Source organism: Homo sapiens, chromosome 14, assembly GCF_000001405.40.
Source record: "Homo sapiens chromosome 14, GRCh38.p14 Primary Assembly".
In the NCBI taxonomy this organism is placed as follows: Eukaryota; Metazoa; Chordata; class Mammalia; order Primates; family Hominidae; genus Homo; species Homo sapiens.
The window spans coordinates 89272322-89299359 of NC_000014.9; the positions used below are offsets into that span (position 1 = coordinate 89272322).

The window sequence follows — 27038 nt, forward strand, 5'->3', positions numbered from 1 at the left end:
GAAGTGATGGTTGCACAATGCTGCAACTATTAAATGCCTCTGAACTGTACACTGTAAAATCATTAATTTTATGAGTCTCACTTCAATTAAAAAAAAAGGTATAGGTATTACATGTGGATGGTAAAATTAGGAGTAATTATATCTTTAGATTGTCTATTTTCTATAACAAAGACATATTATTTTGGTAACAAAAGCAATAGATGTTATTTGGGGTGGGCAGGAGGGACTGACATTAGAAACAAAAATTAAGCTGCGAGCGGTGGCTCACGCCTGTAATCCCAACAGTTTGGGAGGCTGAGGCGGGCAGATCACCTGAGGTCAGGAGTTTGAGACCAGCCTGGCCAACATGGTGAAAACTCTGTCTTTACTAAGAATACAAAAATTAGCCGCGCATGGTGGCGCACGCCTGTAGTCCCAGCTACTCGGGAGGCTGAGGCAGTAGAATCACTTGAATCTGGGAAGCATAAGTTGCAGTGAGCCAAGATCACGTCACTACACTCCAGCCTGGGCAACAGCGCAAGACTCTGTCTCAAAAAAAAATTAAAATAAAATAAAAATAAAATAATCCTAATTTGAGGAGAAAGAGGCATGCTAATACAAAACCCCAGAGCCCTGAAATTTTTTGCTGAAATTGGCCTCCTATTCTTCTATGAGGGGGCTCCTGCCCCTTCCTTCTTTGTGAAACTCTGCACCTTTCATTTCAGTGATTTCCCCAGTTTCGGACTGAGCCGCTGCTTCTTCATGGCCACTGTTGTTTGCTACTACATCTCTCACTGCTGTAAACCTAGCTCTTGAATATGGGTCAGCTCTCTGGACCCTTTTCCTCTTTTCCATTCTATAACCTCCTGCAAAGCTCATCTATGCCCATAACCTATGCCCATAAGCTTCCTCCCCGCCCTGATTCCCCTCTTCCGAAGTCCAGCCTCAGTTTCCACCTCCTACTGAACAGTTACCCTGAAACATGAGATTAAGCCCACACACACCCCAGCAGGGACCTGGCCTGGAGGAAGCTCTTAATAAAGGCCCTCGATTTCCTGACTTCTCTGTTTCTGTTCACAAAACTGCCATTTTCTCAGTGTGCATCACTGGATTTTGGTTAAAATGGTTACTATAGACGGGTAGCGGGAAGAGCTGAAATTAAAGTCAGACAGGAAAATACAGGATATCTGACTGGTATTTTCCCAGATTCCACACCAGGCTGTAGCCACTGGGGAAGAAGGGGGGTAACTGGAGATTGGGCAAATTTGGAACCTCAAGAGATGGCAAAGATCAGAATCAACCAAAGCCTTCTTTTAAAATTGCATTTCCTTGTATTTTTAAAGTAACTTAAGACTGTGTTCTGCATGTTCTCACTGACCACATAAAACCTTGAGAGATCAGAGCTGCAGACCAGCAGCCCTGTAAATTCACCGCTGATTGTAAGCAAAAGCAGCTAGCTGACTCTATTACTGTAGTTACAGAAATATCTTTACAAATAATGCAGTGCAGAACAATAAGACAAATGATGCCAAGAATAAAGGGCCCCTCCTTGAAACCAGAGGGCCTCTGCAGGCCCAAAGAGGACAGAAGGCAATTAGGACTTAGGTGTTGGGGGGAATGGAGAGAGGTTTTCTTATTTTCCTTTTCTGCCATTGCTAATTTTTTTTAATGTGTATGCCTGAGGGTGAGAATCAGGAGATTTATGCATTAGGTGGATGCCCTCCTTTGCAAAATGGACAAAAGAGTCAGCTTGCGGAGCAGATTAGATGGAAGAGGCCAAAGAGCCCAGGGGCTTCAAGCTCCAACCAAATGGGAAAGCAATGAGTGGGCGAGGGTCAGGGCAAATTCAAACAAAACCTGGGATTCATTGGCCCTTACAGAGAGGTAAGGGGTGCCAGGACTCCAGACCAGAGGCTGTGGCCAGACACAGGAGTCTGGTAGTGACATCCTGGTCATATCAGACAGTGACACTGAAAATGGAAATCATGAGAAAGGAAGGTATTTGGGAAAATGCTCGTTTGGAGAGTTTTGGAAGTTTTTTCAACTGGAATATACCTATGAGAATGAATGGTCAGAAACCTGAGGCATGAAACATTGAAGGCTAAAGCTGACTTCGTATGGAGCATTTGTGAGGTGTCAGGTACCAGAGTGACTGACATTCACAGTTCTTTAATCTTCACCAAGACTACAAAGATCACAAAGACCTTGGGCCTCAGGTTTGATTGTAAAACGGGGTTGTGAGAAACACATCTCGCAGGCCCATTTTACAGGCAATCAAACCTGAGGCACAAGGTCAGAGAGCTGGTGCCCAGAGAGGGAGGGATTCAGCCCCAGTTAACTGTGATGCTAAAGCCCGTGCTCCTTCACAAAGCTATATGTGCACCTGCTGTGAATATACACTTTGAGAGTATCGAGTACAGCTTGGTACTTGTGAGCTAGGTGAACTTCTCAAGGAGGCAGTCCTATTTATGAGGAATTAAAAGTGTCTGAGATAAAGATATGTACGAATTCTCCTTCAGATTTATGTATACATCCAACAGGCTCTGGGCATCCTCAGCCTTTGCCCCATCCTGAGAACTGCCCAAACAGATGGGCAAGAGGACTTTGAGCCAGGAAGGCGAAGAGTGCAAGGAAACCACATTCGGAGGATTTTAGCCCTATTTTCCTAAGAGTTGCAGTTTTGTAAAATATTTCAATAGCTAACCTTGATTGGGAATTTAGCATGAACTGTCCTATGTGCTTGACTAATGTGAATCCACCAAATCCTCACCAGGACTCCAGGAGACAAGCATTGTCATGACTCCTAAAGAGAAGTTAAGCCAGCTGCCCAAGAAACCAACACAGGGTTCACTTCCAGGTTGTCCAAACCTATAATATATCGTATTGTCTCCCTAAGATCCAAAGGACCTTGGAAAATCATCTTGTTTGGGGATGGGTATCTTCAGCCAGCCTTCCACCCACTCTGTCCTCTCCTTGCACCCGCAGCAGACACAGCTGGCTGAAGGTAACACTCTTTCTCCACTGAGCCAGAACTAAGCATCAAAATCCATTCTGACCTATTTTGGGGGAAGTTGCTAGAGTGGAACAGAGCTGGTACTAGATAGGGAATCTTTGCCATCGCTGAGGTCTGCTCCTTAAATTGCAAATGAAGCGCTAGGTATGCCACGTGGCTTGTCCAAGGTCACAAAGTTTACCAAGTGAAGGGTTGAGACCAGAACCCAGGTCCCTTGACTCATAATCCAGTGTTCCTTCCACTATAACTTCCTCTTGAGCCTTTCATGGCATGAAAGACAACCAAGGTGAGGTATCTCATACATTTCAGCAGTAAAAGTTCGTAGCAGAGTTATGGGAGGGGTAAGAGTTGTGGAGAAGGGGTGATAAACGCTGTTACTCCCAAGTAAGTTTGGATATGAAGCCAACCTAGAACATGGGAAACTGGTATTCCTCAAAGCAAGTCATCTAACCATCATGTCAACTTCATGCACATTCTACGGACTGCGTGTACATTGGTGCACATGGAGGAACAGCATGCATCTCACAGCAGAAGACCTGGTTTCCTTTTTCCCTATTTTAGCTGTGGGGGTGGGTAGGTGGGAGTCTAAGGCAACACAATCCTCCTCTGTGAGCTGAAAATGCCTTTAAGTCCTTCCATTACATTAGCTCGTCCAGTGTGAGTTGTCAGAAGTAAACGGATGGCCAGGCACAGTGGCTTAAGCATGTAATCCCAGCACTTTGGGAGGCCAAGGCAGATGGATCACATGAGATCAAAAGTTCGAGACCAGCCTGGCCAACACAGCAAATCCCCATCTCTACTAAAAATACGTAAAAATTAGCTGAGTGGGGTAGTGGATGCCTGTAATCCCAGCTACTTGGAAGGCTGAGGCAGAAGAATCACTTGAACCCGGGAGGCAGAGGTTGCAGTGAGCCAAGATCACACCACTTGCACACCAGCCTGGGCGACAAGAGCAAGACTCCGTCTCAACAACAGCAACAATAACAACAACCAACAGAAGTGAATGGAAATAAAATATGTTAGATAATTTATTTTAATTCTACCACCGCATCCTAGGGACACAGAGTTGATAATAATTAGAGGCCCAATACTATAGTGACGGAGAAAAGGAAGAGGGAAGAATGACCAGAAGGGTATAAGGGTGTCAAGTGAGTCACTGGAAAGGTTTGTAAAACCAGTGGTTTCATCTGTGCTGAGAGTGGCTGGGCTTCTTAGAGTGGGTGGGCCAAGCAGCCTTTTCCAAGAAGGGCTAGGACTCGTGGTCTGACCACAGAACGGGCTGTGAGTGGTTGAGAGGGTGGGACCTGGTTGAGAGGGTGGGACCTGGACTTCCCCTGGGGATCTCCAGCCTAACCCAGGACTGGACACACAGAGATGTACCATCAAGAAATGCTTGCAGGTGGGGTGGGGAGGGTAGGCCCAGGGAATGCCTGCTTGGAGGAAGAGCTAGAAATAAAAGCAGGCCAAAATGGTCAGGCAGTAGCTCCTCTCTGAACAAAACTCCGTGGGGAGCTCTGAGGCCAACAGGGCCTACCAAGACCAAGAGGGCAGAAGTAGGATATAAAATCAGCATGGCTTGTGGCAACTTTCAGCAGAAGGCATGAAGCTACCAAGAGCAGAGGTGCCTATGTCATTTTGGGATGAAACCATCAGAGACCAGATGAAGGGTCAGATTAGGGGTGAGGAATGTCTTTAATTATGAATCACTGACTCATTACAACAAATCATCCAAGGGTGATGTTTTAATAAAGTAACCTAATTTTAAGTTTGATGGGTGAATGGAATATGGGGGAGGGGGACAGGGAGTTTGGAAATGGGAAAATATAAAAAAGACTTTATTCTTTTCATTAACAAAATAAGAGAGATTAGTAAATGAATTAAACGAATAAAATAAAGAACACGTTTCAAACACATAGAGACCGTAACACAGAGACACACAGACACAAGAAGAAGGCACGGTGGGGACACCTGTCAGCTGGCCACGCCTGCAGGGCTCTGAATAAGCCACTCTTCTGTTCAGCCTGCCCTGGGTCCCCTCTGAAAAATGAGCTTGTCCCCTTCTAATGCTCTGCTTGGTTTCCATTGTACAAGAATTGAAGTGCTCTCTAGCCTGCTGAAACTGTCTGTAGCAGCCTAAATGGCATTTAAAATAAAGACTGTGAACTGATGAAATGACCAATTATGTTAAGTACCCATGCCTGGTGTAATCCAAACCAAATCTTACCCCATTATCCTCGAAACCGAGAGGTGATTCAGCAGCCCCTCTTGCCAGTGATTCTGAACCAAAATACAGGCACCCGACGTCCAGGGAGGACCTCGAGAACAACCAGTTAATTCTTACAATTGGTTTTGTGCTGGGAAAAATAAAGGTACTAAGTTTCCACTCTAAACCAAACAACGATTTGACAATGAAAACTGGTGCCCCGCTCTAACTATTAGGTCATTTTGATTTCAACTTTGCTTCAGGTTTTAACTTCCATTATTTCCTCTTCAGACATTGCATTATTCTTCCCGTCGCTATACAAAGGTGTCTATGAAGTGCTCAGGTTCCGCGCTGTTGCTATGGTCTCTGTGAAGCTAAGTTCTCTGGTTATTTCTCTTTCTTGCAATGACATTTTTTTTCTATTTCCACACACCTAAATCTATCTGCTTTTTTAAGGCCTTAAGTGTCAGTTCTCCCAAGAAATGACAGCCCCTCTGCTCCCACCCTTCTGACAAAAATAGGTCTCCCTCCTCTACACGACAGGGCACCCCCACTGTATTAGTCCATTTTCACGCTGCTGATAAAGACATACTGGAGACTGGGTAATTTATAAAGAAAAAGAGGTTTAATGGACTCACAGTTCCACGTGGCTGGAGAGGCCTCACAATCATGGTGGAAGACAAAAGATACGTCTTACATGGCGACAGACAAGGGAGAATGAAAGCCAAGCAAAAGGGAAACCCCTTATAAAACCATCAGATCTCGTGAGACTTATGCACCACCACGAGAACAGTATGTGGGAAACCGCCCCATGATTCAATGATCTCCCACAACACCTAGGAATTATGGGAGCTACAATTCAAGATGAGATTTGGTTGGAGACACAGCCAAACCATATCCTACTTATTTTCCTATCCTGCATTATTGAGTCCTGGGGAGACCACTCCATGAAGCAAGTTATCCCCCACCCTGGTTCAATTCTGCCAGTCCTGCTAGTGATCCATAACTCATGATCCATAACCCCGGCTGGCTTCTGCTGGCCAGTCACTGGTCCCACAGCACCCTAAAGAAAGATTCCCACGTCACCCCCATGTGACCAAACTGCACCTTCTCACCCAGCACTGAGAATTGCCATCTTTGGGGACAAGCATCCTCGTTCTACTTGCCCTCAATTCCAATGCCTGTGGCTGGAAGCTATTAACAGAGTTCCCTACTCGTCTGATTATCTAGAAAAATTTTCTTCCACTTGCTATAGGGAAAAACGAGGGATGTGCGTACATTTTTGAAAACAGAAAGTGAGAAATCAAAAACCTGAGAGAGTGGCATTAAACAGGCACATTTTTCTTCTACTTGATTCTAACCCAAACCTTCCCCTGGCATGACTGGACAGTCCCTTCTTTAGGTACTCATATCTTTATTCGTAAAATCTTGCTTGTGGGCCTTAGCAACTTTCCCATGGCCCAGAACCACCCACCAAAGGACACAAAAATATTAATTAGGAAGAATACCCACATATTCCAAAAAAATATTATCACAACAAAAGTGTCTCCAGAACTCTAGGGAATGAAGAAACATCACAGAAAAAAAAATGAATGTTAACAAATCTCTGCCCACCCTCCCAAGCTCTCATCAAGATTCTTCTGATTTTCAAATGTACAAAATTTTAATGGGTTGCATTTAACTGGATGTGGATTCAATAAGCATCTGAAATCTGTACTAGTTTAATTCACAGTTCCTAGAGCAACTGGGGGAATTTGTAACCCTATCAGGAAGAGAAAAGAAGTCTACACCCGCAGGATAATCTCATACTGACATCTCTCAACTTCAGAAACCTTATCAATATTAATATTTCCCTCATGTTTTTGCCCCACAGAAACGAACAAAAAGAACTTACCTAATGCCAAAGTGAATGAATAAAAATCGTGAGAAAAGGCTCTAAGAAAACAAAATCTCTTTTCTCAAAATAATCCAAACCTGAATGATATTCATATCACTGCTATAGTTCTAGAGGAAAAATGACGCACATAACTTTGAAACTCACTTGAAAAGAACCCAAAGGCTGATCCTAATCAGTTTCCACTTCTACTATCTGAAGGGAAAACAGAATAGATTTTTTTAAATTATGTGTTAATTTTTGAGAGTGGAGGGACTTCCTTTTGTTTTCTTAAACATTTAGGATATCTACGATGATTATTAAAATTAGGTTTAACCAAACTTGCCTGACTACATTTCACCTGTACGAAGCAAAAATACAAAGAAACGCTTGATTTCCCAATTTCACAGGCTATTAAAATCACAGTATGCAATTGCGTGGCCTATAAATCAGCACTAAAAATGTGATGACATCTCTGACAAGGGTTTGAGCTACTACGGAAACCTGAAGATACATGTCTCTCTTCTTAACCATACTTATCTCCTACTCCTTCACACACAGGGCCGGCCCTCAGCCTCTACTTCTAAGGGAAAGAGGCTAAACAGCTCTCAACCAATCAATAGACACTAAAATCCCTCACCATAAGCCCAGTGTAGTTCAAAAGCTCTTAGCACAGCCAAACTCATCCACATTTGGCCAGCAGGGCCTGTCTGACTCCTAGCCAATCAACAGAAGTAGGAGGGATAGAAAGCTCGAAGGCCCCGGGAACCACTCAATTCCATTTTATTTACAGAACAGATATCCAAAATAGCGATAACCCCAAAGTAATTTCTAAAAGGATTAAAAATGAACCTCTTTGCTATTTTTTAAATCATTTATTCCTCCTTAACTTTGGCCATTTCAAAAGGAACTTAATGGCAAAAGTAGAGGTGAAAGGTCATTGGAATTCCATGAGCACACCGCCTAGGGACTAGGACAAGGCAGCTGAGTTGAGCTGGACAACAGCAAGGGTGTCCCCTGTAGGTGACACTTGTGGGGACCAATGTAGGGTGACTGGACTCCGAACCTCAGAACAAACCACGGCCAACCTTCCAGGTACATGTAGATGTTGGGCAACAGTAAGAAATGCATGCACCTCCATGATGATACAAGTGCCAGAATAACCAAACCCTCCTTTTTCAGCTCAAGTTTTTGAAACATGTAAAGGGGTTTGCTTTTATCAGCCTAGTTTATGTTTCTGTCGCATTCTAATTACCATGTAATTCCAACATCACCAAAGCAAGCCGAACACTTCCAGAATATGAACAGTGACGGCGGGCCAAAGAAGCAGTCCTTAGAGGCCTGGTTTCAGACTCATGATTCACAGCGACCGAGAAGCTTGAGTAGGAACAAATAAAGAGAACTGGACAAATAGTCCCCACCCACAACAGTCACACTTCTCCAGAAAGCGGCCACTCCTAAACGGGACAGAACTGTCCTATTTGACACCAAGCACAAAGGAGTGATGAAAGGCGGGTGGGTGAGGGGGAGGGAGAGGAAGGGGTGTTACTAGGGACCTACCTTGGAGAAGGGCTCCATTTCTCTTGAAGAAGGTACTGCCCGGCCAGATGGGTGGACCTGATGTGCTGAAAGAGAAAAGAAACTAGCATAAGGCCAAGTTCATCTGCACTCACACACCTGCAACCCCTTCCCACACTTCCCTCAAAACATTTCCCCAAGTATGCATTACTGACACCCTTTGAAAATGCATCCTCGAAAACCATGAGGTCTGCTTTATTGTAAACAGGCTTCATATTTCACAGTGCAGAACCTATCTGTGTGAGTATTCTGCTTATCATCTTGACCCTGCTCACACCTGGGCACTGGAATGACCGACAGATACACAAAATGGCAAATTCACATGGTTTAACGGCATAGCGTATAACTTAAGGATATTTGCTAACCTATTCATAATTTCATGAATGTATGTGGCAAAGAAGTCCTAATCATGTTTTCTGAGACCAAGCGGGTTTTCCAACACTTCCTGGTGCCACCTGCCTGCTACAAATGCAAACTTGTCATTCTTGGCATTTCTACCACTAAATCCTTAATATATGGAGATGACCTTAATCGATTTCCTCCTTCCCCCTCTTCTCGTTTCGTATCCTGTTTTCAATTTTTTGGCTTAAAATGTTGCACTCCATACCCTATAAAACATTTTGCAGATATGTTACCACCCACAGTGTGGTAACAGGAGAGGCAAGAAAATAGGAGAGATCAATATATCACAAAGACACTTACCGCATTCATAGATGAGCATTTTCACTGTTTTAAGACAGCCAGTAGAAAACTTTATAACCAAGCCAGCCTTAGTAAAATGTCCTTAGAGTGGAAAGTAGGTTATATTCTAAATCAAGGATTGGTTTAGATTAATGTTAGAAAGTACTTAGTCAAAAATGTTACTACATCCAGCCCAAGAGGCAGTATAAATTACTCTCATCAAAATAGTACATGACAAATTATATTGGTTAATGCATTATCAATCACCTTCAATATGAGAAAAATAGGTTCGAGTAATGCATTTGTAAGTTTGGCAGAAACACACACGCACACACACAGAAGAATCTGAAGGGCTATACGGTGAATGCTTCACCATTAAACCAGGGTCTCTAGTTATCTAGGACAGCAATACTGTTAGCAAGCAGAAATGCCAATGACACATTCTGCCCACTGGAATTTCATTACCAGAGGTACAAATAGTATGGCAGGTATAGGGACACATTACATGATTGAGGAGGAGTAGGAGGGAAGAAGAAATGAGCTACAGCACAAAAATGCTATCCCACATCAAAATCATGTCAAATGTGCTAGAAAATACATACTATAAACCTTGATGTTAATGAACCTTTTGTTTTATTTTGTTTTGGATCCACTATACTAAAATTAAATGAGCATCACGCATCTCAGCCATGGTATTTCCCACAGCCCTGATTCTCAGCCAGGTAGTTGTGACCACAGAGTGGCCAGGAGCTTCACAGGGTAACAGCAGACCGGACTGGAGTCTCAGGATGATGACACCAGCTGATTGCTCTTCGATTGGATTCTGATCTTACTGTTTCGGGGCACTTAAGGCTCAAAGTTGCATGAAGAATAATGTGCATTAAAATACTTAAGATTATCTTTTAACAATCCCAGCAAGCTCTCAGGATTTTACCATCTAATTTTTATAACAAAGCAGGGAACAGCAAGCTGGCTGTTGCCAATACAGAATCACCTGATTTATAAAGATATTTTAAAACTGAGGACTTCATTATAGCAGAGTTGGTGTTTCTAGAGAATTCAATAATTGAGTATTACTGCAGGAGCCTGAATATCCAGCTTACTTCCATCCAAACCTCTTCTTTATCCTGAGCTTGATTTGGCTGAAAACTGAGTAGACATCAGGGATGGAGCACTATGGGGAATGAAGGTCGGATAAATCCAGTGGTTTAGATAAGGAAAATTCTCTGTATGATAAAGATTCTTACAACATACCTAAAGATTCTTACAACATCCTTTTAATGTACTTAAATCACTGATCACCACTGTTCTATGGTCAATCTGTGGTGCTGTGGAACTTATCTGTACTCTAGTAGTGGAGAGAGACTTGGACTGGCCACCACCTTCTCTTTCCTGGCCCCTGTTGTAATTGATGAATTCACAAGTGGTCTCTTTCCAGCTCAGGGTAAGTCAGCTCCTGCCATGCTAACTGCAAAGTTTTCAAGCTCCCTGGCCCATATCTACACGCTTCTTTTGGAGGGTTCCTCAAAATGACATCTTCTAACTGTTAGAAGATCCGAGGATTTATTAAACTCCTGCTGAGAATTGTGCTTGGTGTTGAGAAAGACTTGAGGGGAAAATTTAAAACCCTATTTTATGACCTCTAAGAACCTGCTGTCATACTTACCTGGCTCCAAACTCCTCTGACTCTATCTAATGAGACCAGCAATGCCTATAGACAGACTCATGGTTATGCCTCCAGTGGCTGCAGGTTGGGAAGGCAACAAGCTTGATTTTTTCCCCCCTCCATCTGGAGATGTCCCTGGATGATTGGCCTTTAAAGCTTAAAGTTGGTTAAAACCACACATAGTACATGAAATTACTTAGAAGTGTCTATTAACCACAGTAATTCAGAGATGAAACCAGTGACAGAAGTCTTTGTGGGAGGAGTTGCAAACCACCCATCCTCAGGCAGCTCAAAAGCGGGGAGGGTGGGAGTGGCGGGTGAAGGGGAAGAATGGGGTGCGCTCCATACCCAGCCATGTAAATATCACTGCCATGAGAAATGACCATGGGGGCCCCTTGTTAACCCTGAGTGGGTTTTAATCACCTTAAAATGGTGTTTGCATTACATGACCCTAGGATCAAGTTACCATTTACTGAGCATAGTAATCAACCCTTTTCCATGGAATCCTCTAATTCTGCAGGGTGAGCAGGGCAGAAATCACCTTCCTGTTTTTTGGGGGGTTTTTTGACAGAGTCTCGCTCTGTAGCCCAGGCTGGAGTGCAGTGGTGCGATCTCAGCTCACTGCAACCTCCACCTGCCAGGTTCAAGCAATTCTCCTGCCTCAGCCTCCTGGGTAGCTGGGATTACAGGCACCTGCCAGCAAGCCCGGCTAATTTTTGTATTTTTAGGAGAGACAGGGTTTCACCAACTGATTTCAGTGGCCAGGTTGGTCTCGAACTCCTGACCTCAAGCGATCCACTCGCCTTGGCCTCCCAAAGTGCTGGGATTGCAGGGGTGAGCCACCATGCCTGACCCATCCATTTTTTTTTTTAATTTTTTTAAATTGAGACGAAGTCTTGCTCTGTTGCTGAGGCTGGTCTCAAACTCCTAGCCTCCAGTGATCCCCTTGCCTCATCCTCCCAAAGCACTGGTGGTGTGAGGTACCATGCCCGGCCACCTTCCCCGTTCTATAGGGAGACAGACAGAGGTCCTGAGAGGTGAAAGGACTTGCCCAAGACACTGCATGACAAGTTAGTGATCAACCCAAGAAGGACTAGGGCTTGCCCACTGTACCATAGAGACACACGCATCAACAGCTCCAATTTCATTTCTGATCTTCCAGCTTTCCTCTTCTGCTCTTCCAGCACTAAACTCTTAGTCATCCTTCCCTGTGGAAGAAGGCTGTGAATGGTATTTTGCTAGGACTCTCTCCAAGGCAAAGTCCCAGGCTAGAAAAAGCAATCAGACTAACCATATGTGAAAGACACGCGGGCTCCTATTAGCAGAAACAATACAACGCCAGTGCCACAAATGTCTCATTTCAATAATATGCTAGCAAAAATCCCATGACCTTCAGCAGTATAAGCCAGACCAACTTTGTAACAAAGAAAGCAGACCAACAGGTTAAGAGGACCTTGCCGGCCAGCAAGGTGGAGTGCGACCTGGCATTTGAGAACATTGATCCAGCTGATCGTTAAGAGCAGCGCTGAGCCTGCAAATCCCAAGAGGTGAGTGATACCATCCTGAACAGCATACCCGGCGGCTGCCAGAGACTCAGCCCTCAGTAATTCCCGGATCCCACACTCTGAGCTGCACTACCTCCAGCTCCCAAGGGGATATCCTGAGTCAACAGGTCGGACAGCCTGAGGGTGGCTCTTAGCAAGATGACGTGATCCATCATGTGTTCTCTATACCCAGGAACCTTAACCATTGTGAGAACCACCTGGATTATAAACCAAGACCCTGGAAGGTTCCGCCAAGACACACACCTGTATTCACCAGCTGAACTTTCTGTGGATCTCAATGAGAAATAAATTAAGAAAAGGACTGTTTTCTAAGATCTCACCTGCCAAATGTGAACTAGGACCTACAAAAGAGAGAAGTGGGCCAGGCATCGTGGCTCACGCCTGTAATCCCAGCACTTTGGGAGGCCAAGGTGGGCAGATCACAAGGTCAGGAGTTCGAGACCAGCCTGACCAACAGGGTGAAACCCCGTCTCCACTAAAAATACAAAAATTAGCCAGGCATGGTGGCGCATGCCTGTAATCCCAGCTACTCAGGAGGCTAAGGTAGGAGAATTGTTTGAACCCAGGAGGCGGAGGTTGCAGTGAGCCGAGATCACGCCACTGCACTCCAGCCTGAGTGACAGAGCAAGACTCCGTCTCAAAACAAAAAAAAAAAAAGAGAGAGAGAAGAAGATGCTACAACATGGATGAACCTTGAAAGCAAGCTAAGTGAAATAAGCCAGAATAAATAAAACAGATACTGTCTGATTCCACATAGAAGAGGTATCTAGAGTAGACAAATTCACAGAGACAGAAAATGGAATGACGGTTGCTAGAGGCTCATGGAAGGAGGAGTAGGGAGTTTAATCGGTACAGAGGTTCAGTTTTACAAGACGAAAAGAGTTCCGGAGGTTGGTTGTACAACAATGTAAATGCACTTAACACTACAGAACTGCATACTTACAAAATAGTTAAGATGGTAAATTATATGTATTTTACCAAAAATTTTTTTTTTTTTTTTTTTTGACAACAGGGTCTTGCTCTGTCACACAGGCTGGAGTGTCGTGGCACAATCTCAGCTCACCGCAGCCTCCAGCTCCTGGACTCAAGCAATCCTCCTGCCTCAGCCCTCAGAGTAGCTGGGACTACAGGCACACACCACTATGCCTGGCTAAGTTTTTTTTGTTGTTGTTTGTAGGACAGGGTCTCACTATGTTGCTCAGGCTGATCCCAAACACCTGGGATCAAGTGATCTGCCCACTTCAACATAAATAATTTTTGTTAATGTATAAAACAAGAGAGGAGTAGGGAGGGGAGGAGGGAGAGGAGTAGGGAGGGAAGAAGGGAGGGGGAGGAAGAAGAAAGAACAGAGAGATTGAGATGATAAGAAGGACTCTGAAGAAATGAATGAAAGCCTAAAGTGCTTGGGGCGGGAAGAAAGGAAGAATATCTGAATGTCCCCCATGGTCAGCTTTCTGCCAGAATGGTCCACAGCACACGACAAAGCAGAAAGCCCAAACCAACGGGGATGGGGTGGGGGGAAAAAGTGGGTGTAGCAAGACCAGCCCACCCTGATTTAGCACTCATGGAGGCCAGAGCTTACCCACTACTCTTAAGCAACCGAGCACAGAGTCCTATCATACTCTTAGCGCTGGAGATGGACTGTGATGGCAATCCCTTCGGATGGGTGACATCTACCACCAGACTGCAATTTCCCCAGGAATAAAACAGTCAACGCAGTTGTAACAAAGGGAGAATCACCCACCACAAAAAATCCTTGAAATTCCATTGTTTTGCCTTATAACTGGGGATTAATCACCAGGAAATAATAGAAAACCAAATGTGACCTACGCCACAATGTAACAGGGGCTCTCTGAGTGAAGGATGTCACTCGCTGGCATTTGGAACACGGCAACCAGAGCAGGCTGGACAGAGACGTGTGTGGGAAGCTTCACAAAATACCACTCACCGTTTGAGAAGCATCACTAAGAACACAGATGAAAGTTCAGATTCTCGGGGACACTCTTGACACTTTTCTAACCTTCCAAAGAAGCTTGAGTGTCCCGGCAATTAAAAGGGATCTCTGTGGCCACAGGGTCCAATCCAGGGTGAAGTGGAGAGACCGTGGGATTTGGACTCAGAAATTTTGTTTAAAACACAGACTGAAAGTCTTTTAACTTGTCAAAGTCTCAATTCCATGCCTGCAAGCCGGGGGCAATGTGTGAGAATAAAATGAGATGATGGGGGAAAAAAATTGCTTTCTAGACTGCAAAAATCCCAAAGGTGGTTTTTCTTTTAGTTGTTTTTGTTTTTGAGACAGAGTCTTGCTCTGTCGTTCAGACTGGAGTGCAGTGGTGTGATCTGGGCTCACTTCAACCTCTGCCTCCCGGGTTCAAGCAATTCTCCTGCCTTAGCCTCCCGAGTAGCTGTGATTACAGGCATGCACCACCATGCCTGGCTACTTTTTGTAATTTTAGTAGAGACACAGTTTCGCCATTGGCCAGGCTTGTCTCGAACTCCTGACCTCAAGTGATCCTCCTGCCTTGGCCTCCCAGAGTGCTGGGATTACAGGTGTGAGCCACGCCCAGCCCCAGTGGTAGTCTTGATTGCAAGCAAACCCCAGTTCAGAGTTAACTGACACACTCAAGGCCACACAGCAACATTGTGGCCATTGTCAGGTGGGCACCAGCACTTCCTCCTAGACATCCTTAACTCTCCCAACTTGGCCCGTTTTTCCATTCCTGTGACAGATGAGGTAACTGCACTTTTCCTTTTTTCTTTAAGGATTCTTGGAGATGTTCTAATTGCAAATATTTCTCAGTCTAAAGTAGCAACACTTACTAAATATCCAAGAAGCAACTTCACAGATGTCACTTACTCTAAAGAATGCTAAAAAAAAAAAAAAAAAAAAAAAGTAACTGTTGGCTCACCCCTGTAACCTCAGCACTTTGGGAGGTCTAGGCAGGAAGATCACTTGAGCCCAGGAGTTTGAGACCAGCCTGGGAAACGTTAAAAATAAAACATTTTTTTATTCTACAAAAAATAAACAAAATCAGCCCAGTGTGGTGGCATGTGCCTGTGGTCTCAGCTACTCAGGAGGCTGAGGTGGGTGGATCGCTTGAGCCCAGGAGCTCCAAAGCTGCAGTGAGCCTTGATCACACCACTGCACTCCAGCCTGGGCAACAGAGCAAGACCCTGTCTCAAAAAAAAATATATATATATATAGCTCCATGCAGAATCCTGCAAAGATCCAAAATGGGCACGCGATCAAGAGACAGAAAGAGACCAGGTAGAAACCTACCAAGAGTGGCCCATTTCAGAGGATGACAATTGCTGAGGAGGCATGACTGAAGTGATCAGACCACAACCAACCAGGCCCACCAACACTATAACTGAGTGTGTGGCAAGATTACTCAGAGGGCAATGCACCAATCAAGATAAGAAATGGAATTGCTCTGTAAACTTAGCCAAATGTTGACACTGGAGACTCAACTGATTTCAAAGGTATCAGCCTGCACATAGTTCTTGTATGCCCAATACCACCAGGACCCATGAGAATCTGACAGGTGGCAGCTGCTCTGGCACCATATCTATCGAGCTATTTTATTTTACTTTTAAACAATTATCATTTTACTTTATTTCAGAATAAGTTTACAGTTGAAAAATGATGTTTACTATCAACATTATACGAACAAAACTTTTATAGCAAAACCTTGGTATGTGAGCATTAATAATCCAAATACTACACAGATATAGAAGATATTTTAAAAATGGAAACGACATACTCCAAAGGCTGTAATAGGCACTCTCTTTCTCTCTCTCTCTCTCTCTCTCTCTCTCTCTCTCTCTCTCTCTCTCTCTCTCTCTATATATATATATATATATATATATATATATATATATATATATATGCTTGCACTGGGTCCGTAAGCATTATACTATAATTCATTAAATGTCATCCAAGAAGTTGCAGATTTTTCAACACTACGTACTGAAAAGATACAAAGGACTATCATAATTTCTCTTAACATTGAAAAAAACATGGGGCCGGGTGTGGTGGCTCACACCTGTAATCCCAGTTGGGAGGCGCAAGTGGGCGGATCCCTTGAGGCCAGGAGTTCGAGACCAGCCTGACCAACATGGCGAAATCCTGTCTGTACTAAAAATACAAAAATTTGTTGGGCATGGTGGTGGGCGCCTATAACCCTAGCTACTCAGGAGGCTTAGGCACAAGAATCGCTTGAACCCAGGAGGCAGAGGTTGCAGTGGGACGAGATCATGCCACTGTACTCCAGCCTGGGTGACAGAGTGAAATTCTGTCTCAAAAAAAAAAAAAAAAGAAAAGAAAAAGAAAAGAAAAGAAAAAGCATGTATTAGCAAGACTACAAAATCAGAGCAGAAAGCCAAACTAACAAATAATTCCTTAGGCTTTAGGAGAAGTAATACATCCATGGCTTTTCTCATGTTCATTTTTGCGACTGGTTAGCAAGTCTGGCAGGCAGAAAAGAAAAAATTAGACTATAATAAAACATTAAAGACACCATTTAGAAGACATCTGACATTTAACATGTTCAAAATTGGAAAACAGACACTGAGCTTGATTTTTGGGCAACACTGCGAGGTACTACATAGCAAAAGCACTGTTTCCTCCCATCAATCTGTTGACACAAAAATCTCTTATGCAGAAAAGTAAGTTTTCAAATGACACGGTAGAAATACATATAAGATGAATAATTCAAATTTATACTTTTGGTTTTTAGTAACTATAAAGAATATAGGTCTTTCAAGGACAAAGAACCTGAATTTGGTCCTTAATATGAAATGTTCTTACATCTTTTAAAAGCGTGGGCGGAAATACGTACTCCTGCTGACAGCATATCCACACTGCCAAAGGTGAACATGTGCTCACGATAAGAAAAAAACTGTACATTTCTCAGGGCACATTACTACTACATCATATTGAAATTGTCTAAAAGATAAAAATGTACATCTTAGTTTATTTTTCAACAAGCAATTGAACATACGTGGAAAATTGAATCATGCAGTATTTTTACCTATCAGTTACTATGTTTGTGATATGAGGGGAACAGACTTCTTTTTTTTCCCTTTAAATCCATAATGTTCACAAGTCACCACGTGGAACTAAAATCGCACACACACAGGCAAATCATGAAGAAATGTTAAGTACTTCAAAATGCCCACAAAGTCGTGCCAGAAACGATGCTGTGTCTATAGCACAGAATTGTCGGAGGCCAAAACTAAAGTGGAAGGTGCTTCTGCAACTTCCAGTTCTTTACTGCTACTTTTTTATTTGTTTGATGGAGGGACTCAGGTGAGGGGGTTCACTGACCAACTTGGATCCATCCCATGCTGTCTTGAACTGCTCAGGGACAGGAAATTCTCTGTCATTACCACCCTGACGAATAAGTATATTCATTTTGGATGATATGATGCTCACAATCTCACAGTCTAATGCATCTTCCCCGAGTTAGGTATGTGTGGCAACCTTCTGTCTTATTAGTGGAAATTGCTGGTACTCTCCCCATTACCTGGATTTGAATGTACTTGGAGTTGGTCATTTCCCCAATGCCCACCAAACTGTCAAAGACCAGACCAAACTTCTTACAGTTTTCCACTGGAATGGAGTTTACTTTCCCTTTCATCGGGAGAGCTGATTTTTCACAATTGAAAATGTAAGCCACTTGTTTCAGCTCAGTCTCTGAAATCACAAGGTCATTCCTGTCTTCTTGGTACTCTGCTCTCCATTTACTTCCTTCCAACTTGAACACGGGTGCATGTTGCTGGGAAGGATGAGGTTTGGGAGATGTGGGACTTGGAATGTAGCTTCTGTGGGGAGACGTACTTTGCCCTCCGTGAGCCTGCAGGCTGGGATTCTTATATAGGCCTTCTGGTCATCAGTGATGTGCCAGAGCCCTGGTTCTGCAGGGTTAGGCTTCTCCCTGGTTAAACCGGGCAAATAAAGCTGAGCATGAAGGAGAGGACTTTTCTTTTGTGTCTTCATTCTCAAAAAGTGGAGGGGCCCTGGAGGAGGTGAGGAGGATGTGGAGAAAGGTCAGGCCCTCAGGAGAGAACAGAAAGCGCTGATGTGGGTGCTGCGGACCTGTTCTGCTCCACGTGAGGCCCGTGGTGTGGTGCTCCTTGACTCATGCTTGAAACTCACTCCAAATGTTCACATATGACCTCACCCAATCCACACGGTGTAAATCATGTTTGTAGCCCTTTAAGACCCTGTTAGTGTAAAAGGTGGCAGCATCACACATCTCGTTGACGTAAGTACCCAAGTTGGGGGGCACAGTTATGCAGCCAAGGGCAGGGAGGCTTTTGCTGACATCCGAGAGATGACTAAACATGTTACTCCCTCGGTTTCTCTCTTTGAAGGTTTGGACTTCTGAATCTTTTCTGATTTGGGTTTCAGAAATGCAGCCACGCATTCTCTCGGGGTTGTTGGTCATGAGATGCCATCAGAAGGAAAGCCCTGTAACACCCTTTCTGCATAAGTCTCCATGTCACCAGCAAGGATGCTACTGTTCTTTAAAAACTTGGCCACCATGCTGTTCATCAGCTTATCAAAGGCTTCCACGGAGGGTGCCACACCTCCACAGACACTCTTGCTTACCCCGCCATCCCCAGGGGGCCTGTGGGACTCTGCAGACAGCGACTCCAGGCAGCTGACAGCCCACTCCAGTCTTTCCAGCAGTCCCTACATGTCTGCCATTCTGCTTTGCTGCCCTGGGGTCCTGTCTTTGGCAATGCAAATCTGTGGCCGGCCACTCATGCTCTCTTCCTGTGGCCCTTATTGTGTTGTTTTAAATATACTGAAGTTTCATCACATTCCCCAAAGCCTGCCATTCAGTTGGGACTTCATTCCTTGAACGTGTTTGCGAACTGCGATTGACCTACGGCCGGATTTCTTAACCTCAGCATTACTGACATTCTGGATTGGATAATTCTTGTCCTGGGATGCTACACTGTGGATGGTAAGATGCTCAGCAGTCTTCCTGGCCTCCCACTAGACACCAGTGACACCCACCTCATCAGCTGTGACAACCAAAAATGTTTCCAGTTATTGCTGTGTGTCCACTGGGGAATAAAACTGCTCCCAAATGAGAACCCAGGAACACTGGCCCCAATCTCTCCACTCATCAAGTCCCAAACCTCCCGCTCCATCTTTCGGCAGGCACCGTCACCTCCTCTTTTCTAAACGAAGGACATGCCCTTCCTTCCACCTCCGTTCGCTGGCTCCATTATTTCTGCCTGCGCGTGCATCTTCTTACTTGCCAAAGTAACATCTCTATTACCCTTCTTTTCCTCTGGAATCTTTCCTCCCTCCACTACCCCTTGTCTCCACTTACCTCCCCCTTCCCAGGACTGATGATTTCTTATCTTAGCCATCGCCACACATAAACTGGTGTCCAAGTCCTCCTTTTGGCTCCCATTATTCTTTCCTGCACTCACAAATCCCAAGAGCTGGCACCGACAGCGCAGCTTCCACTCCCCCATGTCACCACCACAACCTCTTCCTGCCAGGGGTCACCTGGGTCCCCCAGTTCCCCAGGTGCTATGGTTTGCATGTGTCCCTCCAAAATTCAGGTGTTGCCAAGGTGATAGTGTTAAGAGGTAGGGCCTTTAAAAGGTGATTAGGCCAGGAGGGCTCCTTCCTCATGAACGGGATTAGATGACCATATAAAGGGGCTTAAAGGAGGGAGCCACCCCCCTTTTCTGCCTTCTGCCATGTGAAGACACAGTGCTCCTCTCCTCTGGAGGGTACAGCGTTCAAGGCCCCATTTTGCAAGCAGCCCTCACCAGACAATGAACCTACCACAGCCTTGATCTTGGACTTCCCAGCCTCCAGCATAGCGAGAGATCTATTGTTTGTAAATTACCCAGTTTGTGACAGCAGCACAAACAGACTAAGACGAGCGGTCACTGCCCTTGATGTCACTCCAGCCTCTCTCCCCTCTCCACCGCACGACCTCCCACATGCACTCACATGAGAAGCCTCTTTCTGGGTTACACAAACTTCCTGTTACTTTTGACAATACTCTTAAAAATCCTTTCCACCTTTAGCTACAAAACACCCTCCTGGCCTGGGTTCGGCTCCTCCCACTCTTCTTGCCGGACAGTCGGCTAGCTCTCTGTCCATGCTCGGCCCCACCATCAGAGCATTCCTAGAGTTCTAGCCCTCTCCTCTTTTCTTCTCATGCTCTTTTCCTAGGAGAGTTTGTGGAAAGGTTGGGTTTGCCACTTCCCCACTGCCAGCTGATTCTGTTTCCAGATGCTGGAGGGTATCTCCAGCGGGCTCTGCACAGAGCAGCTTTCAGCTGCCCCTAGCTCCCACATCCGCTCAAACCAGAAGGCAGCTTCCCCCCTCTGCCTTGCTTGCCAGTTCCCAGGGCACGCTCTCCATGCTGCCCAGGGTTTATCAGTGTCTATTCGTTTGCTGGGGCTGCCATAACCAAGTGCCACAGACTGGGGGGTTTAAGCAACAGAAATTCCTCCTCTCACAGTCCTGGAGGGCAGAAGTCCAAGATCAAGGGGTCACAGGGCTGGTTCCTTCAGCAGGCTGTGGGGGAGAATCTGTTCCTGGCCTCCCTCGCAGCTGCTGGTGTTTGCTGGTGTTCTCTGGCTTGCAAGAGCATTGCCCTGCCTTCATCTTTACACAGCATTCCCCCATGTGTACAGCTGGCTTCAAATTCCCACCTTTTCTAAGGACAACGTCATGTTGAGTCGAGGGTGCACCCCACTCCAGTGTGACCTCATCTTAACTAATGACATCCTGCAAGGACCTTATTGGAAATATGGGCACATTGGAAGTAAGGGCACATTCTGAGGAACTGGGAGTTAGGACATCAACATATGAATGGAGCGGCGGTTGGGGGTAGGGGGAGAGAAGCACAATTCACCCCAGACAGTGGCTATTTCCCTTCCACATGCAGTCTCTCCAGGCTATACCAAGACACCTGTGGCTGTCTTTTCCTGAATCCCTAATACCTACTGCTGTGCTTGGAACCTGGCTGCCACAAATGTCTGTTGAGGGAAGTAAAGTTTATCCTTTAATTCAGCATTCCGCAAAGAACAAAACAGAAGAAAACAACGGACCCAGCCTTTGGTAATCACCTGGCAAATGCTCTAGTTCAAAATTCTGGAGGCTCTGACACCTTCCTCAGCTACGTCCCTGCCTCCAGTCCCCATTGGGGCCCACCCGTTCTTCCCAAGGGCTCCTGCACTTTCCTTTCCTTTCTGTTTCTACTCCCAGGCCTGGGGTCAGCTCAAGTTAAGATGTCCTCTCCTGAATCCTAATAGGCCTCCCTGTCTCCAGCCTCTCTCCCCACAGCAGGCCGCCCTGCCTGACACCTCAGCAGCATTCTCAAAGCACAATATCTTCAGGCACAGTCCCCAGGGCTTGCCAACGTGGAGAGGTGCCCAGAGTGCTATCAGGGGTGGGGGAATGGTATCACCAGAGCTGCCCAATGTCAACAAAGCCTCTCATTTTTCATGTGTCTCATACACCGACTCTCCATGTGCGTCTTCATTCGAAGAGTTTGGTGGCTACAGAAGTGTGAATGTGCCAGAGGCGTCTGAACCACAGCAACTCCATCATGAATAGGGGCTGGGTAAAATGAGGCTGAGACCTACTGGGCTGCCTACCCAGATGGTGAAGGCATTCTAAGTCACAGGATGAGACAGGAGGTCGGCACAAGATGCAGGTCACAAAGACCTTGCGGATAAAACAGATTGCATTAAAGCCAGCTGAAACCCACCGAACCAAGATGGCAATGAGAGTGACCTCTGGTGGTCCTCACTGCTACACTCCCACAGCACCATGACAGTTTACAAATGCCATGCCAACATCAGGAAGTTACCCTATATGGTCTAAAAAGGGGAGGCATGAATAATCCACCCCTTGTTTAGCATATCATCAAGAAATAACCATAAAAATGGGCAGCCAGCAGCCCTCCGGACTGCTCTATATATGAAGTAGCCATCATTTTGTTCCTTTACTTTATTAATCAAGTTGCTTTCACTTTACTCTATGGAATCGCCCTGAATTCTTTCTTGTTTGAGATCCAAGAGCCTCCTCTTGGAGTCAGGATCGGGACCCCTTTCCTGTAACAAATGCTTACAGGGCAGGGTGAGAGCCAATCGGTGCTGGTACCCCTCAGAAGCCCTCCTGTTCCTTCCCAGCATGTCCTTCCTGCTTTCAATATGCCGCCTGGCACAGGTCTCCAGAACACCTGCACCCAGGAGGCTTTTTGGGCCCATCCCAGCCCAATCTCTCCCTCCGCTGCATGAAATGCCCTAGACCCATGTTCTCTTCACCTGTTACAGCCTATTCATCCTTTAATGTTCAACTCGAATCCCAGGTACCCAGGACACCTTATCTGGTCACTCTCACCCTACAACCTCTCCCTCCTCTGAATCCTTCTGGCAAATACCTTCTGTGCAGCTCATCTGGGAATTAATTGCACTCTGCAGTGTCTTCCCATTCTAACGCCTTATACCTTTAACCCACAGGTATGTGTGTCTCACCTTACCTTGGCAGACGTCACGTGAGCAGAGGCTAACAGTGACTCCTCTCTTAGAACCTGGCCAGGTTCACAGCACACGGAAGATGGTTGTCATTATTCTAAGTGATTCTGAAAAACAGCGGGAATGCTACCTGCACCTCCTACACAGAATTATCTCAAACACTAAGGATTTTTTTTTTCCTTTTTTTTGAGGCAGGGTCTCACTCTGTCACTCTGTCACCCAGGCTGGAGTGCAGTGGCACAATCGCAGCTCACTGCAGCCTCAAACTTGCAGGCTCAAGCAATACTCCCACCTCAGCCTCCTGAGTAGCTGGGACTACAGGTACATGCCACCATGCCTGGCTAATTTTTGCATTTTTTTTTTTTTTTTTTGTAGAGACTGGGTCTTGCTATGTTTCCCAGGCTGCTCTTGAACTCCTAGGCTCAAGAGCTCCTGCCTCAGCCTCCCAAAATACTGGGATTACAGGAGTGAGCCACCATGCCCGGCCAGGATTTTTAAAACATCTCTTATAAACATAATTAAATCTCTCACAAAGAAACTAGCCTATAGTAACACATCTTCTTCACTATCATCATCTCAAATAAAAACTCAAAAATATTTAAAAATTGAAAGAAAATTATAAATCTCATTCATAGTAAGTAATAGATTAGGTAATTTGGATTCCTCTTTTCTGTGATTTCTTGATTCCTTAGGAACAGATAAATAACTAGATAAATACATGCATATTTTTTATAATATGGGATGCATGTTTTGAGTATATACTGAAAAAACTCTGCTTAAAACCACGGCTACGATTTTACATGCATACAGCTTATGATACATCTCATGAACAGATGCAAAGGTGTTTATCATTATCTTTGTGCTACACAGTTTCTAATTTTACATATGAAAACCAAGGCATCATTCAGTATAAAGTACATTATTTGCATGATATATTTGCATTTGTAAAACACCCACATTTACTTTTACTGCTTAATGGGCCCTGATTTAAATGGGCCACTCTATATAAATGGAGCACACTGGTTCTCCACTCAATGGTGTTGATAAGAAAACTACTCCTTTTAGATGCAAATGAGCCTACTAATCACAATTAGAATGGTGGAGTTAAGGGAGGCAGAGCAGCTGGGCCAAGAGCTCCCAGTCTAGTAGGGCCAGTTTGGTTCTAGCTTCATCTCTGAAGCAGCAACTTGGGACTTCCCCAGAGGACATCTGCCCAGGGGCCCCAGGGATAAACTCAACATTTCTCAACCGAGTCTCGCTCTGTCGTCTAGGCTGGAGCGCAATGGCACGATTTCAGCTCCCTGCAACCTCCACCTCCTGGGCTCAAGCGATTCTCCTGCCTCAGCCTCCTGAGTAGCTGGGATTACAGGTGCCTGCCACCATGCCTGGCTAATTTTTGTATTCTTTAGTAGAGGCGGGGTTTTGCCATATTGGTCAGACTGGTCTCGAACTCCTGACCTCAGGTCATCCACCCGCCTCGGCCTCCCAAAGTGCTGGGATTACAGATGTGAGCCACCGCATCCAGCCGAAACTCAACATTTCTGAAGGGGCTGGAGGAGAGGAGAAACAGCTTCAGAATTTGGGCCTGCTGTGCTAGTGTGGATCAATCTATCCATGGCCTTTGTTATCCCAAACCTGTCCAAAGTGCCAGATATTAAGCAATACTTTTCAAACATAAGTGGAATCATACGGAAGGAGAATAGCATTTGTAAAACTAACAAGAGGAAAGGCAAGTAAAGGGAAAAGCTAAGTAACTATATAAGACATTACCCAAACTAATGCCACGGAGGCGGCGCAAAAGACATCCCCTTAAAATGGTGCAGGCACTCTGAAAAAACAGTATGGCGGTTCCTAAAAAAATTAAACATAGGGGCCGGGCGCGGTGGCTCAGGCCTGTAATCCCAACACTTTGGGAAGCCGAGGCGGGCGGATCACAAGGTCAGGAGATCGAGACCATCCTGGCTAACACGGTGAAACCCTCTACTAAAAATACAAAAAAAATTAGCCGGGCGTGGTGGCGGGCGCCTGTAGTCCCAGCTACTCAGGAGGCTGAGGCGAGAGAATGGCGTGAAACTGGGAGGCGGAGCTTGCAGTGAGCCGAGATTGCGCCACTGCACTCCAGCCTGGGCAACAGAGCAAGACTCCCTTTCAAAAAAAAAAAAAAAAATTAAACATAGGAATGCCATCAAATCTAACAGTTCCGATTCTGGATATATACCCAAAACAACTGAAAGCAGGGATTTGAAGAGATACTCGTACACCCATGCTCATAGAAACATTATTCACATCTGGGTGCGATGGCTCACGCCTATAATCCCAGCATTTTGGGAGGCCAAGGCAGGAGAATTGCTTGAGGCTAGGAGTTCGAGACCAGCCAGGGCTACATAGCAAGACCCTGATTCTACAAAAAAAAAATTTTTTTTTAAGTCACCGGGTGTGGTGGCACACACCTGTAGTCCCAGCTACTTGGGAACCTGAGGCAGGAGGACGGCTTGAGCCCAGGAGTTCAAAGTTACAGTGAGCTATAATCATGCTACTGCACTCTGGCCTGGGTGACAGACAGAGAACATGTCTCTAAAAAAACAAAACAACAAGAAGAAAAGAGAAACATTATTCACAATAGCCAAGAGGTAGAAGCAACCTAACTGTCCCTCGATGGATGCATGGATAGACAAAACAAGAGAATAATATTCAGCCTTTAAAAGGAAGGAAACCCTCACATACGTTATAACATGAACCTTGAGGGCATTATGGTAAATGCAATAAGCCAGTCACAAAAAAGACAAACACTGTATGACTCCACTTTTATAAGGTATCTAGAGTCATTAAACTCATAGATAGAAAAAGAATGGTGGTTGCCAGGAACTAGGTGGAGGGGAACGGGGGGAGTGGTTGTTTAATGAGTACAGGGTTTCAGTCTTGGAAGATGAAAAAAATGATGATGGCAGTGCTGGCTGTACAACAGCTGAGCATCTTTAATGCCACTGAACTGTAAACTTTAAAAATGCCTGGATGGCGCCACTGCACTCCAGCCTGGGTGATAGAGGGAGACTCCGTCTATTTAAAAAAAAAAAAAAAAAAAAGGCTGGATAGTACATTTTATTTCATGTGTCTTTTACCACAATTTAATAAATAAATAACAGATAGACGACAGACAGACAAACAGACATTTCCTAATGGCTGGCCAGACAGTACATAAGGCAGGTGACACCTCTGCTGCTCCACTGCCAGGATCTAGAAATAAGGGCTGGTTTCCTCACTCTCTTTTCTCTCACTCATCCATTCACTGAATAAACATGTTTTTACATTGCTATGAGGACGCTGTGACAAAATAACCATCCTGTCCTCCAAGAGGCAGGGACATGGATGGCAAATTAGCTCAAGGATTCTGAGATGTACAGAGGAACCCCTGCAGCTGCCTTTGGATGTCTTGGTTACTACACCAAGAATAAAACCAGACACTAGAATCTTCTGGACAATGTTCCTCTTGTTGGGTAGAATACACTGACAGTCTCTTCTATGAGGCCCATGCCCATTCCTTGACCCTCATCTGAATCTTCTCTGAGCCCTAAAAGTGCTGCTGTGGGACTTCAATGCCAACTGTCCTGCCAGTTCTCCAGCTGCTTCCCTGGAAAAACTATAGATCCTCCAAAGGTGACATCCACCTTCTGGGTGCTCACACCCAGTATGTGCTCAATAAGTGCTGCTATTATCACAGCCTAGAAAGTAGCTGATATGGTTTGGCTGTGTCCCTACCCAAATCTCACCTTGAACTGTAATAATCCCCAAGTGTCAAGGGTGGGGCCAGGTGGAGAGATTTGAATCATGGGGGCGGTTTCCCCCATACTATTCTCAAGGTAGTGAATAAGTCTCACAAAATCCAATGGTTTTATAAATGGGAGTTCCCCTGCTCAAGCTGTCTTGCCTGCCACCATGTAAGACGTGATTGT

General features: G+C 45.1%; 1 protein-coding gene and 1 pseudogene across 2 annotated transcripts in view, besides 6 other annotated features; both read right to left on the reverse strand.

Moving 5' to 3' along the window:
• Nucleotides 1-27038, reverse strand: part of FOXN3 (forkhead box N3) — a 462989-nt gene that overhangs the window by 116145 nt on the left and 319806 nt on the right. For both annotated transcript variants that reach the window (NM_001085471.2, NM_005197.4), the window contains exon 4: nt 8629-8693. In NM_001085471.2, the coding sequence (NP_001078940.1) occupies nt 8629-8693 (65 nt within the window). The remainder of the gene's footprint in view (nt 1-8628; nt 8694-27038) is intronic.
• Nucleotides 4331-4430: an enhancer, noted in NCBI's record as "active region_8849". NCBI's record gives its function as "activates an Ori minimal core promoter by ATAC-STARR-seq in GM12878 lymphoblastoid cells {active_cell/tissue: GM12878}" and the evidence as "EXISTENCE:reporter gene assay evidence [ECO:0000049][PMID:35858748]".
• On the reverse strand, nt 17677-19352 carry CAP2P1 (cyclase associated actin cytoskeleton regulatory protein 2 pseudogene 1; annotated as a pseudogene).
• Nucleotides 21524-22191: an enhancer, noted in NCBI's record as "NANOG-H3K27ac-H3K4me1 hESC enhancer chr14:89760189-89760856 (GRCh37/hg19 assembly coordinates)". NCBI's record gives its function as "activates a minimal SCP1, AML or CMV promoter by ChIP-STARR-seq in primed H9 embryonic stem cells {active_cell/tissue: H9 hESC(primed)}" and the evidence as "EXISTENCE:reporter gene assay evidence [ECO:0000049][PMID:30033119]".
• Nucleotides 22192-22859: an enhancer, noted in NCBI's record as "H3K27ac-H3K4me1 hESC enhancer chr14:89760857-89761524 (GRCh37/hg19 assembly coordinates)". NCBI's record gives its function as "activates a minimal SCP1, AML or CMV promoter by ChIP-STARR-seq in primed H9 embryonic stem cells {active_cell/tissue: H9 hESC(primed)}" and the evidence as "EXISTENCE:reporter gene assay evidence [ECO:0000049][PMID:30033119]".
• Nucleotides 23733-24295: an enhancer, noted in NCBI's record as "OCT4-NANOG-H3K27ac-H3K4me1 hESC enhancer chr14:89762398-89762960 (GRCh37/hg19 assembly coordinates)". NCBI's record gives its function as "activates a minimal SCP1, AML or CMV promoter by ChIP-STARR-seq in naive H9 embryonic stem cells {active_cell/tissue: H9 hESC(naive)}" and the evidence as "EXISTENCE:reporter gene assay evidence [ECO:0000049][PMID:30033119]".
• Nucleotides 24296-24857: an enhancer, noted in NCBI's record as "OCT4-NANOG-H3K27ac-H3K4me1 hESC enhancer chr14:89762961-89763522 (GRCh37/hg19 assembly coordinates)". NCBI's record gives its function as "activates a minimal SCP1, AML or CMV promoter by ChIP-STARR-seq in naive H9 embryonic stem cells {active_cell/tissue: H9 hESC(naive)}" and the evidence as "EXISTENCE:reporter gene assay evidence [ECO:0000049][PMID:30033119]".
• Nucleotides 24858-25419: an enhancer, noted in NCBI's record as "H3K27ac-H3K4me1 hESC enhancer chr14:89763523-89764084 (GRCh37/hg19 assembly coordinates)". NCBI's record gives its function as "activates a minimal SCP1, AML or CMV promoter by ChIP-STARR-seq in naive H9 embryonic stem cells {active_cell/tissue: H9 hESC(naive)}" and the evidence as "EXISTENCE:reporter gene assay evidence [ECO:0000049][PMID:30033119]".